General features: G+C 38.8%; 1 long non-coding RNA gene and 1 pseudogene across 2 annotated transcripts in view; both read right to left on the bottom strand.

The window, feature by feature from the left end:
- LOC105372896 (uncharacterized) overlaps window positions 1-12461 on the bottom strand; it is a 55293-nt gene extending 42832 nt beyond the window's left edge. For both annotated transcript variants that reach the window (XR_922530.4, XR_922529.4), the window contains exons 1-2: window positions 11196-12461; window positions 5962-6153 (exon numbers count right to left, since the gene is read on the bottom strand). This is a non-coding gene — a long non-coding RNA (uncharacterized LOC105372896). The remainder of the gene's footprint in view (window positions 1-5961; window positions 6154-11195) is intronic.
- Window positions 13385-14018, bottom strand: ATP5MC2P1 (ATP5MC2 pseudogene 1; annotated as a pseudogene).

Raw genomic sequence — 14489 nt, forward strand, 5'->3', positions numbered from 1 at the left:
GAAACACCAAGCACATGATTTAGAGAGTGGAACTTATGGGCCTATCCCCAAACACCAGAGAGAGAAGAGAGATTGGATATTGAGTTCAATCACATGAATAATGATGCAATCAATTATGTCTACTTAATGAAACCCCAGATAAAAACTGATCAACAGATCATCAAGTGAGAGCACCCTCTCTCACTGATGTACCCTGACTCCATGGGGACAGAAGCTCCTGTCCTTGGACCCTTCTAGATCTTGCTTTATGTATCTCTTTATCTGGCTGTTTATTTATATCCTTTATAATAAGACAGGAATTGTAAGCATCATGCCTTTTGAGGTCTGTGAGGCATTCTAGCAAATTATTCAACCTCAGGATGAATGATTGGGGTTTCTCATAAGAGAAACCCCAAATTTGTAGTTGACTGGGCAGAAATGTGGGTAGCCTGGGACTCCACTTGCAACTAGCATCTGAGGAAAGGGCAGTCTTGTTGGGGTCTTGTTGGGGACCTTGCCCTTTAACTTGTGGGATATGATGTTAACTTGGGAAGCTGGTGTCAGGATTGAACAGAATTGTAGGACACACAGTTGGTATCAGAGAATTGGTGTCAGAATGTGTTGCCTCTTCAGCACTCTCAAGTAGGGAGGCCGCAAAAGGGACCATACGGCATAAGACGTATGGTCTCTTAGCTCTGTAGTGACTGCTGTCACCTTATATTTTTATAGCAATAGGAAAATTGGTGGAATATTCACTTGGGCTAAGAGGCAAAGTTCATAGAATTTGGGACTGAATGCACCAGGGGATGAAGTCCATATGACCATTCTGCAGCAAGATGACTCTTCAAACATCCAAAAAGCATAATTTCTTTGCAATCTACTTATAATATTCCTAATTACCATCCCCTCCACTAACACCTCCATCCAGCAATCATGTCACCCCAACTTTAATCTCAACCAGAGCACTTATTACCACTTGGCATGAAAAGCACTTGCTGAAGTCCCAGGAACAGAAGAGTGACAGACCCACAGAGGTTGCCTGTCAGATTCGCTAGAAATGGGGAACGTGGGTATCGCAATCAATGGGGATGATCACACATTTTCTTACTTTTTTCTTCTTTTTTATTGTGGTAAAATAAAAACACTTATTATTTTAGCCATTTTAAGTGTCCAATTCTGTGGCATTAACTACCTTCACATTGTTCTGCAACTATTACTACCGTCTATATCCAGAATTTTTTCATCTTCCCAAGCTGAAACTCTGTACCCATTCAACACCAACTCCCCATTACTCCCTCTCCACAGCCCCTGGCAACCAGCATTCTACTTTTTATCTCTATAAATCAGACTAATCTAGGTTTTGCAAAGAAGTTGAATCACAATATTTGTCCTTTTGTGACTGGCTTTTTTCACTTAGCATAATGTCTTCCAGGTTCACCCATGCTATAGCATATGTCAGAATTTCCTTCCTTTTTAAGGCTGCATAATATTCCATTGTATGCACACATCACATTTTGTTTTCCTATTTATCTACTGGTGAATACTTGGGTTGCTTTCACTTTTTGGCTATTTTAAATAAAGCTGCTGTGAACATGGGTGTATAAGAGTATCTGTTTGAGTCTCTATCTTCAAATCTTTTGCATATATACCCAGGAATGAAATTGCTGGATTATATGATGTTTTTTTAATATGGTAATTATATGTTTAATTTTTAAGGGGAACTAATATATTATTTCCACAGCAGCTGCACCATTTTTCTTACCTTTTAAAAAATATTTTCTCTAGGTTTTTAAAATGGTCTTATTTATTTACACGTTCATTAATTCTTAGATATGGGGTCTCACTATATTGCCCAAGCTAAAGTGCAGTGGCTATTCACAGACAGGGTCATAGGACACTGCAGCCTCAAGCTCCTGACCTCAAGTGATTGCCCCACCTCAATCTCCCAAGTAGCCGGGATTACAGGCATATTTCACCATGTTCAGCTTAAAAATTATATACTTCTTGTGTGTGTTTTGAATTGGCAATATATTCACATGATACAAAACACAAGATTGATCACAAAATATCTACCTTTTATTCCTGTCTCCAAGCCTTTTAGTTCCCCTTCTGGAGGCTGCCAATGTTACTATTTACCAGTGCTCTACTATAGCACCACAAGTCACCCCAATATCCAAGCAGGTTTCAAAATTCAATCTGAGGCTTGCTTAGTGAACAGAAATGTTTTCAAACTATCTGCTGTCTGCTCAAAGAAGGGGTTAATGGAGAGCAGAACTCTGAAATGCACTGTACATAATGAATAACAAATACCCTTTTAAGATGAGTATTTTAAAACACCAACATGTTATTATCCAAAATGTATAAAAGTGTCTCTCTTTTCTTTTTTGGCCTTGAGTACTACATTGAAAGCATTACCTAATGCCCACTCCAAAAGATTAGATCCCTCTGAAAGAAAAGAGTCAACATGCATAACACATCACAGCACCATCCTGCATCTTTTCCATTTGGGTTCACAGTTAGACATTCCCTGGTTTAAGGGAAAGAGCATTTGCAAAATGGCTCTTGGGGCTTAATTGGTATTTCTTTCTTTTGCCTGCCGGAATAATCCAGGAGAGGAAACTGCAAAGCAATTTAAGAACATTAGCATTGTTCCTAAATACCCGTCCAAGGTTAGTGAATACAACTGGAAAAGCCCAAAGAGCACCTAGGGAGATTAAGGGAGGTTTTGAAGCAGAACGCATGATTCTAATGAACTTGGGCTCTGCCTCATGGAAGAAGAATCTATCTAAATACATTAGGGCCAACAGAGCAGACAGCAGACGGGAGGCAGCTACCTAAATGCGAGAGATGCTGTTCTCAGTAAGTTGTGAAACGCTGCAAATAGATTTCGGTGGGTTTGAAGCCCTGAGTCGCTATAGGGTGCTAATTATGATTTCCATACTGTTGGCGAGAGAGACACTCCCCAGCAGGGTGTCGAGAGCCACAACATATGCACTCCAGCTGTCCTCGTGAACCGCCCCCTTGTACCCCTCACGGCGGAGGTTTCTGCTTGGTTTCCTCCTCTCACTGAGCAGATGAATTAATTTGTTTGAAGATTGGAGAAGGATTTTTGGAAAGAAAAGAGTCCATAATAGGTTAGTGCCAAATAGAAATCATTTTGCACAGGATCATTGTTGCATCCTTTTTACTGCAATATGAATGTTACCTAAACAATAAGATGTATAGAGTCAATATGATCGCATTTCAACACCTGCATCCAAACCACAAGAAATAAAATGTTATAGGTTTTAAACAAATCTCATTTTTGACTCAACAGGAAGTGTACCTGATCTTCCTGTTGAGGTTTTTTGGTGAAGGGGACATCTGGCATCAACTGTCCAGAGCCAGACAAAGCTTCACAGGTTGTGGGCAAAGCCCTCCACAAAACTGTTCTCACTTCAGATACCAGTTGCAAATTCTGGAGTCCCCAGGCCTTCCTCCCTGCTGACCAACTGCCTATAAATTCAGGGTTTATCACTATCTCTTCAGGTTTCATAATTTGTCAGAACAACTTACAGAACTCAGAAAAGCACTCTACTTATGATTATAGTTATAGCAAAAGAATACAAATCAATCAGAATCAGCCAAAAGGAGAGACACATACAGCAAAGTCAGAGAGGATCTCAAATGTGAAACTTCCTTTGTCCTCTCCCATGCATTCAGGGTGCATCACCCTCCTGATAAGTGATAATACAGAGTATTACACACAGCTGAGCTCGGTGTCCATGGTTTTTACTGGGGCTTCAGTATTCAGGCATAAATGATTAAACCATTGACTATATGACTCAATCTCTAGTCTTTTCCTCCCTAAAGACTAGTTCAATATCAAGGTAGCTGAAAGCCTCTATAATCTCATGGTTGGTCTTTCTGTCATGACCAGCCTCCATCCCGAGTCTTTTCCTTAACATAAACTACCTACAGCCCTATCCTGAGTCACCTCATAAGCAAAACCTATCATGACCTACCATTAATAGCAAAGACACTCTTATTACTTAGGAAATTCCAAGGGTTTGGAGGCTACCTCCACAAAACTAGGGACAAAACCCAGCCAAATCCTTACAGGGACAGAGGAATGGGATTGGTGGGAGATTATGAGGTCATCCAGGAAGCAAAAACTCAAGTTCTAGTTAGAGTTTATTATATCTTCTCACGCAGGTTACTTAATCATCTTGGGTTTTACATCTCATTCTTTTCACTTACAGCAGTAATTACTGATACCATTTAATGAGTGCTTACTATGCACCAGATGCTGTGCTGAGAACTTTGCCTACTTAATCTCATTTATTCTTCACCATAAACTTGCAAATTTTGTCATTTTATTATCTCTATTTTGTAAAGAGTGGAGAGGTGATAGAGATTTCAGGAGGTTAAATAACTTGTTCAAGTAATTGGAGGAGCTGTCACTCAACCACAACTGTGAGTCCAAAGTTCTGATTCTTAAGTTTCCATTCATAACACTATACTGATAATTGGCTTACAGGCATATTGGGAAAATAAATTAGAAAGATATATGAATTATTATAATCTGAAAGGGAATAACCTCATGAGTCAAGGTTGTAAGATTACCATTATTATTATGTCACTGATTATTACTATTAGCAATATTATTTCACTTTCATACTTCACATGAATCTGTCTACTTATTATAAAAGTGGTTTCTACTTACTATATGAGTTCCTATTATAAGGAAAGAACTCTCTTTTAGAGAGAAAGCAAGTCTTTAAATCATAATAAACAAAATTCCATGTAGTTTCTGAAACATTTGTTAAGTATAATACCTACTATGTGCCAACTCGTAATGTGCAACTTGGAAGGTATAGAAAGATGGGTAAGACATAGACCCTCACCAGCAAGACAAGTGTGCATAGAATAACACAACTCAAGGCAGAATGTAATAAGTGTCCAAACACACACAGAAAGCCCTCTGCTGATTCAGAGGAGAGAAAGATAGCACACAAGCCTCAAGAGATCAAGAAGAATTTCATATCCACATCTTGAAGGACAGACAGAATTTGGAGAGACTTGGATGGGTAAGAAGATGGGATTCCTGAAGAAAGGAATCTAGTAGCAAAATTAGACCAGGATGTATCACACTTATAATACATCAGTGGGTGACAATACAGACTATTACCAATCAAGCAAGCTCAGCAGAGCTTCTGTATCCACAGTTTTTATTGGAGCTTCATTATGTAGGCGTGATTTATTAAACCATTGGCCATGTGCCATTAAAACAGGTGCAATTCAGAATGTTTGAAAGGATGGGAATGAGTGTATAGTTTAGTGGTAACATATTTTTGTGAGATAAACACAGCATTTAAAATTTTAAAAAATTTGCTTCATCATAATTTTATTAGCTTTACTATGTTGAGCAAAGCTCTAACTCCTCCAGCACCACTTTGCCCATTCTAAAAATGAGGGTAGATAATGCCTAGCTCTTAAGGCTTTTGTGGGAGTTAAATGAGAAATATATTGAAAAACTCATATTCTGTGAACTAAATAACTTTAAGCAAATACAAGGTTTTACAATTTCTGTTGTTGTTTGTTTGGATTAAAGGAAACCAGCCAAGCTATGTTAAACAATATCAATGAAAAAAATATTGGAACCATACCCTGGAGGTTGGGGATAGTGTGGCTAGGATGCCAGGGTGAGGAGGCTGAGCTTTGTCCAGTAGGAACAGTAGGCACGAAGAACTCAGTTCATGTCATGTTTTCAGTTGTTTTGTTTTGGTTTGGTTTGTTGAAGGTGATTATAAAAGCATTAGTACTTATTATTTCAAGAATAGCAAGCATTAACTCTGAGAAAAAGTAAAATTGTTTATCTGAAATTTTCAGTGAGGATAAGCATGGAATGTGGTGCAAATTTGTCTTTGAAGATTATTTGAGCAGGTTTACTTTTTCAGTGGTAACACTTTGGAGAAAAGACAAAAGGTTAAATACACTTACCTGGCTTCCCCATTACCCCATCTAGAAGTCAGAGTATGAGTACGATGGTCTGTGAAGACAACTTTCAGGCTGAGAACTTGAAGCACTTCCAGCAATAACTCTAGCAGTCTGCATAATTATCTTTCTGCGTCACAGTTTGCCTTATCTAGTCCTTAGAAGCTGAGGGAATGAGAAATATGACTCCTCATTTGGCTCCATAGGCAGAGTTGTGGAGAGTAGAGAAAAATATTTATCACTTTAAAGTGTCCAAAATATTCATGTACAATTAATTTTTTAATAAGAGATTTCAAAGAGATTTACCTTAAGTAAGTCTGACCATAGAAATTTAATCAAATCATTTTAATTAACTTATTTAAATATCTAGGTGGGCTTTAATATCACAGAGCTAGAACCTAAATACTTTTATTTGCAATACTGAGATTAACTATTTTAAATTAGTTTATTGTAAAATGTTCAAAATTCAAAAACACAAAAAGGATAACATAATAAATTTTTCTATACTGTTCACCCATATTGACCAAGTGTCAAGATTTTGCTGTACTTACTATATCTATCCATCCTTCCTTCTCATCTTTTTTGATGGCATAGCTTTCAGTTTGTTTATATCTACTTTATATCTTTAACAAATGTATAAAAGCTTTCTATAAGTTTTGCAAATTTGGTTAAGTTTATGCATAAGTATTTTTTGTTGTTATTGTAAATAGATTTATCTCCTCCATTGAAACCTCTAACTAGTTATTGGTCATATTTAATGAGGTTATTAATTTATATCAGGTGATTTTGTATTCAATTTTACCAAATTCTATCATTGTTTATAGTAGTCTTTTTCACTAGTTCTTGATTTTTTCAAATATATAATATCTCCATTATTACATACATTTCTAGAAATTCTACAATTTTACTTTGTATTTTCCATTTAACTCGAGTCTTTAAGAAAGAGTTTTGAGCTGGGCGTGGTGGCTCACGCCTGTAATCCCAGCACTTTGGGAGGCCGAGGCGGGAGGATCACGAGGTCAGGAGATCGAGACCATCCCGGCTAAAACGGTGAAACCCCGTCTCTACTAAAAATACAAAAAATTAGCCGGGCGTAGTGGCGGGTGCCTGTAGTCCCAGCTACTCGGGAGGCTGAGGCAGGAGAATGGCGTGAACCCGGGAGGCGGAGCTTGCAGTGAGCCGAGATCCCGCCACTGCACTCCAGCCTGGGCGACAGAGCGAGACTCCGTCTCAAAAAAAAAAAAAAAAAAAAAGAAAGAGTTTTGATAACTTATTGATTATTTCTGGTTTAACGGTAATTTTGGAGGGAAAAGAGCTGGATTATTATGTCTATTTTCTAAAATTAACTGAGGTTTTTCTTTGTGTTTTAACGTACAGTAAATGTCTACAAATAACCAAAAGCACTAGGAAAAAAAGTATATTCTTTACTATCAGGATTCAGAGTTCAATGTATAGCTATCTGAACCACCTTTTTTTAAGGCCTTCTATATTCTTAATATTTTTTAATCTCACTGTCTTGAAAAAGTGTTATAAAAATCTTCTGTTAATTGTGTCTGTCCATTCTGTCTTTCATATTCTATGTTTTCTGTTTGTAAAAGTTGTAAAGATATTAGTGACTATTACATCTTTACTGTATATTGTATTATTTAGGTTCATTAAATGGCCTTCATGTCTTTCAATGTTTGTTGGCATGAAATCTATATTTTTCTGATATTCAGATCATGTCCTCTGCCTTCTTTTTATTTTACTTGACTGATATATCTTCATGTATATTTTTACTCTTAGCCTTTCTGATTCACTTTTTTTCCTTGATATGTTTTATATAACACCATGGAGTTAGATTTTGCTTTGTTAAGATCAACTTTTTTTTTCTTTTATAGGTAAGTAAAGTCCATTTACATTTATTAATATAATCAGTATTTTTTCTCAGTTCTGACATATTGTTTTATATGTTATTTCTTTGTTGAATCATGTGTAATTGCTAATAGCCTATTGTTTATGACCTACCAAAATGCCAATTGTATCCATAAATATTTACATATTTACATATGTCTATGACTTTTTATGCTCACAGACATATACAATATGCATGCAAAGTGCTTTACTTTGTGATTTGCTTTATAATTATTCTTTCTTTAGAAATTTAGAAAGTTTTTTTATATTCTAGTGGTTATCATTATTTAATACTCTAATTTCTTCTATAAAATCTCAACCAATAATCATTTTTTCTCCCCTCTTCCCTTCCCACTATCCACATTGTCTCTAGTATTAACTTAATGAAAAATTTTAAGAAAACTCAAGCTTCAACTACTTCCATTGTCAGACTCAAGCAATATCCTCTTGCTCCCACCTAGCACATATCAGGCAATCTGTAAGATTACTCTTCTTTCCATTTACTCACCCCTTTCTTGTCCTATTTTTGTTAGTTTTTATTATATGACACTGTCAAAGCACACATCAACAGTACACTTTTTAAATTCTTATCTCCAATTTCAGGTTGTTATTCTACATTTAAGTACATTCACACTTATCTCTGAAAACTTGTACTGAATTTTCTAGAATTACTTATTGCTTGTCTGGAGCTCATTCTCCAGTAAATTTCTCAGGAACAACTCATGAGAGTAACATTCCATGAGATCTTGCAGTTCACAATGCTGGACTTTTTCCTGTTAACACATACAACCTTTGATTCTCATCTTCTTTTCATGAAATCATTTAAAATATTTCTCTTTTTGTTGTTGTTGTTGTTGTTTTGTTTTTTGAGACGGAGTCTCACTCTGTTGCCCAGGCTGGAGTGCAGTGGCTCAACTGCATCCTGGGTTCCCGCCATTCTCCTGCCTCAGCCTCCCGAGTAGCTGGGATTACAGGCGCCCACCACCACACCCGGCTATTTTTTTTGTATTTTTAGTAGAGACGGGGTTTCACCATGTTAGCCAGGATGGTCTCGATCTCCTGACCTCGTGATCCGCCTGCCTCAGCCTCCCAAAGTGCTGAGATTACAGGCATGAGCCACCACACCCAGTCCTTCTCTCTTTTTTTTTTTAACAGAAAATGATGCTGTTGATAATTCTGATTTTTATGTGTGTTTGTTTTTGAGACAGAGTCTCACTGTGTCACCCAGGATGGAGGAGTGGCACAATCATAGCTCACTACAGCCTTGAACTCCTGGGCTCGAGTGGTCCTCCCACTTCAGCCTCCCAAAGCGCTGGGATTATAGCTGTGACCTGAGAGATCTAATTCAAATCTGATTTTTTATCTCTTAAAATGACTTGGTCTCTTTGTCTGAATTCCCAAAGAGGTTGTTTTTGTTTTTGTTTTTTCTAACTTTTAACATTCAGTTATTTTATTAGGATTTCCTTGGTGATAACTGTTATGGGTTGATTCCTCCAGTTAAAATAAATATGTAAATCTTAAAACTTCTATTTCAGCAAACTGTTCCTGATTTATAATTTTAATACTCGTTTTCCTTCCTTAGGGACTATTTTGTTGGATCCTCCTTTTTTTCATTATTTCTTTATATTTACTTGTCTTCTCATCCTTCATTTTCTCTCAAATAATTTTTATCTTTTCCTTTATTTCTGTTTGATTTCCTTCATTTTTCCTTTTTTATCTTTTGATTTTTCTCACTGTATTTTTCCATAGTATCTTTTTCCCATGTATTGCTACTTATTAGTCTTTATTTATAAGTGTATTTTTTAAAATAACTTTCCTGAGTTCTGTAAGTTCTCAATTCATAGCCATTGGCTATTTAACTATTTCTTCTATTTCTGGTTTATACTATTCTTTCAAAGTGTCTATTGATTTTTTAATTTATTTTCTCTCACTTTGCTATTGCATCTATGATATTATGATTTTATATACTTTATATATAAACACACGTATATAGGTTTTCATTCACCATTCCTGGATCATGACTCCGTAACTCTGGTTACAGTTTTTTTATAATCTGGGGTGCTTCATGTCTCTGGAACAGGCCTCGAGAAACAGAATCTCTCTCTTTAACCTCCTGTCCTCCTCTCACCTGCCCAAGGCAGGACTCTATCCTGATTATGGGTTAAAAGACTCTCATTCAGAGCGGGTCCTGCCCCACACCCTAAAAAAAAAGTCTGGGCAAACAGGCCTTCTGGGTTTAGATCATGCACTTTTTGCCCAATCACATGTCTACATAGTTGTCCATCATGCTTATGTTATGAAGCCACCATAAAAACCCAAAAGGACAGGGCTGAGAGAGCTTCCAGATAGCTGACACGTGGAGGTTCCTGGAGGGTGCTATGTCAGGGGAGGACGTGGAAGCTCCGCACCCCTTCCCCCGTGCCTTGCCTTATGCTTCTCTTCATCTGTATTTGCTTCTCCATGAAACAGGAAAAACACCCGGTATTTCCTTATCTATGAAACAGGGATCTTTAGTGATATACTTGTAATATACCTTATAATACACTGGTAAACTTAAGAACTTAAGTGTTTCCCTGAACTGCTTCAGCAAGTTAATCGAACCCAGAGGGGGTCGTGGGAACCCCAACTTGAAGCCATTAGGTCAGAAGTTCAGATTTGCAGCAAGGAGTGTCTGCCACAAGGGTGTGTTGGCGGGGGCAGTCTTGGGGTCTGAGCCCTCAGCCTGTGGGATCCGATGCTATCTCCAGGTAGCTAGAGTGGGAATTGAACTAGAGGTGAATTTGAGGTGAATTAGAATTGAATTACTTGGTGTCCACTGTTTGTCGGTGGGGAACCCCCCCCCCCCCCCAAAGAATTTGGCCATAGAAGTCTTCTTTTGTGTTCATTGCTGTGGCGTGAGAGCAAAGAAAAAATTTGATTCGGGTGTTTTTCCGAAACAGAATGTTATAGTTTTCATCTGCTTTGTGTCCACTTTTTCTGGTGTTATTTATTTCGTTATTACCTTTTTTTAAATAATAACTTTGAATTATTTAGACTATTTTTTTTTCTGTGTGTTCCCTGTTTAAATGAAATGGCTTTTCCTAGACTATTAAGGGACAGTTCCTGGTCAGTGGGGGCCAGGGGATGAACTAGGGTCACTCTCTCAGCTTCATCTTTTCTTGTTATTAAGAAGGACTCAAAATACATCATCCCATCCATCTCTCAGGCCTACGCCTGGCCAAGAAGGTTTCCTGCCTTCAGTTCTATGTTTCCCAGAGCTCTCCCCTTTAGACAAGTTATTTTTTTCTTACATGACTTCCCGGGATCTGACTCCTTTGGGCCCACAACCTCCTCCCCACACCGCTTACCATCTCAACTGTCCAGAGTTACTGCCCGGCTCAACGTGTCTGCTTCTGGCGGTTTTCCCCTCTGGAAAAGGATATTATTGGATATTTTGGCAATCATCCAGGGTTTGCTCTACTGCCTCACTCTCAGGTCTCTTGTGATGCTGTCTGCAGGCTCCTGCTTTCACTTGCAACTCTGAGCATATCGGAATAGTAGTTTCACAGTTATTCTCAGGCTTGTCCACACAGATTTTTATTCCAGATTAGGCCTTCTTTTAAGGGTGAGTCTTCATGGGTGATCTTGGGTTCTATAGCTTACAGGGCTTGTCAAAGGTTTGCATTGAGCCCACCACTCTCTTTTCCTGTTTCTGCCACCTCGCACCATCTGAACCCCAGTGTTTCTACCCTGCTCAGTTGCTGCCACGACTCCACAGCGGATTGCCTTTAGGTGCCATTTCTACATGTGGTTTTGACTACAGCAGTACTGTAGGGTTTAGAGATGTTTCCTATCACCTAGTATTTAAAAATATATAATCTAGGCATATTTTTACACTATTTCTAATTTTCTGTTTGGTTTTCTGGAGGAGTTTTGAAAAGATTAAGAAACTACACTGCCACCATAATCTCACTAGGACCAGAACTCAGGATCAATTTTTCTTAGAGAATGTGGAAGAATGAAGCTTCCACATATTCTTTATAAAATCTTATAATTTTAGAATGTGAGTTCTCTAAAACTCTTAAAGGTCACAGAGTCCAATACCTTCCTGTAATAGGAAAGATAATTGAGGTCCAGAGAGTGAAAAACAAGGCTCTCTCAAAGTCAGTGTAGAAAGTAGTAGAGCCAAGTATAAAATACAGCTTTCCCTTAGTCTTGGTGTTAGAAGGAACCTCAGGGCATGTGGTCCATCTTCTTACCCAGTGCAGAATTCCCCAGGAAGACAGGCAGCCAATATCCCCTTGAATATCTTAAAGGATGAGATGTCTAACTCAACCAGTTCCCCATGTGGTAAAGACAAACTTGTCTTTTCACTTTTTTCCTTTTTCAAAAGTATAAACGGAGACACACAAGGATGAATTGATGCAGGTGTTATTGCGTTTGTTCCCTGTTTCCTCTCAGTTTAGAAGCTGACTTGGAAGCACCTCTAGGTTGATTCACAGCCTGAGTTGGACACAATCTTTAAGTTCATCTAGTCTAGTGGATTCATTAGTCTATGCTTAAACATGCCTGGCAGCTCACTCTATCATCAATTGTTCAGGAGTTCTTCCTAAAGTGAGATGATGCACATGAGCGTATTTGTGGATTACACAACCTTATATAAATCTAAGATTGTCAGATTTATTATGTTGAATGGAATTTTCTCCCCTTTAACTTCTAAGCATTGTTCTTGGTTCCGCCCTCTGAAGCTATGCAGAAAAAGTCTCATTACTCTTGTACTTTGCAGTGCTTGAAACGCTGGAAGAGAGCTATGGGGCTCCTTCCTTGTGGCTAAGGCTTATCTTTTTCCATGGTTATAAACAAAGCCAGCACTTTTATTCCTCCTGTGGCATTGTCTGCAGTACTCCCAGCAATCTGTTTTTTCTCCTTTAGCACACTAAAGCTTATTAATGTTTCTCTTAAAACGCCAAAAATAAACAGAGTGGGACTCGACTTTCTTTGTCTCAGCATCACACTTACATCAGCACAGTGTAAGATTATGAGTCATTCCAGTGCTTCTTATTGTGCCTTATTTGTTTTCAGCTTGCAGTCAACTAAAAACACCTAATATTTTCTAGTGAACTTCTAGTAAAGCGGTTCTCCAACTTATTGGGCATGGGCCGTTGATATTTTTGTCCTTGATGTAGGAAAATAGCTTTGTAAGCAGCAACACAAGTCCTTTCAGAACTCCAGTGACTGACTGAATCTGGGGACCTTGAGTCTTTTGGGCATCAAGGTTTTCTCTGATATGCTCCATCCCTTTCTTGGGATTTAATTCTTCCTTGGCTATATTTGTTCTACTCCTTTTCATTTGAATATCATACTCCTAGATATACAAGTCCAAAGAAAAGTAGTGGGTGAACAATCCCCTTCTCACTCTTGGTAATAATTTCTACCACTTTCTACTACTCCCCTGGCATCACTGCTGTTTTCTTTTTACCACTGTCTGTACCAGTATATCATTGACTACCCAAGCAGGGGTGCATGCTGGTCTCATTCTCCTGTTTACTTTTTTTTTTCTTATTAATACAGTATTTATTTGTCTTTTCTCCGTCAAACCCTGAGCCAACCATGTTCCCCAGGCTGCCTGGGGAGGTATAGGAAAAGGAACACACAGGGCCCATCAGACATGGAAAAAAGAACTATGGGAGGTGGAGACGGCTCCTTCACATGGCGAAGAGGATGAGAAAGGCCACCATCAGGCAAAAGAGCCCCAAGGCCTCCCAGAGGGCAAAGCCCAGAATGGCATAGGAGAAGAGCTGTTGCTTCAGAGAAGCGTTCCTGGCATAACCAATGATGAGGCTCCCAAACACAGTCCCAATCCCAGCCCCAGAGCCAGCCACCCCAACTGTGGTAGCCCCAGCCCCAATGAATTTGGCTGCCATGTCTATGTCCCTTGAAATGGCACTAGTTTGGAAGCTGCAGCTAGGGACAAGTGAGGTAAGGGGACATGAGACTGCCAAGCTGCTGAGACTCTCATCTGCCATTGTCTCCGGTCATTTCAACACCACTGCAGATAGTGGATGGCTCAGCAGCTGTGAGGTGCTCTTGACCAAGGAGGGAGTGGAGATGAATTTGGAGCAGGCATACATTTTTACGGGGTGAGGGGCTATGGCAGGAGAGCTGCTCCCAGTGCAGAGAAGACAGACAGGACTCTCCTGTTTAAACATACAGTGGGGGGTCAGGGAGAGGGCATGATCAGGAAGACATAAAATTGGATGGTACATACAGACCCTCTTTAAGAGGCAGATATCTGCTGTCAGTACCTCTTGACATACATTCCCCGCCCACTCATTATCCAGGACAACACCTTTATATCTTCTAATCCCTGTATTTCCTTATCTATGAAACAGGGATCTTCAGTGATAACCTACCTTTCCTTTGTAGGATAACCTACATTCCCTTAGGACATTCCTAATAATATAAATTATTCTTTCTCACTGCCCTATTTACTATGCAGACCTTATCTATTGAGGCTGTATGCTAAAGAAGACCCTTATGGTGCTAAGGAGTACACCCTGGGGCCAAGAATTCGAAAGCCTTCACCCTAGTGTGAGTTGTCAAGTGCTGGCTGGCCAGTTTCTGTAAAGGAGCCACTAAACCACTAATGAGAGCCTCAAAAA

The sequence above is a fragment of the Homo sapiens genome, chromosome 1 (assembly GCF_000001405.40).
Source record: "Homo sapiens chromosome 1, GRCh38.p14 Primary Assembly".
NCBI classification, from domain to species: Eukaryota; Metazoa; Chordata; class Mammalia; order Primates; family Hominidae; genus Homo; species Homo sapiens.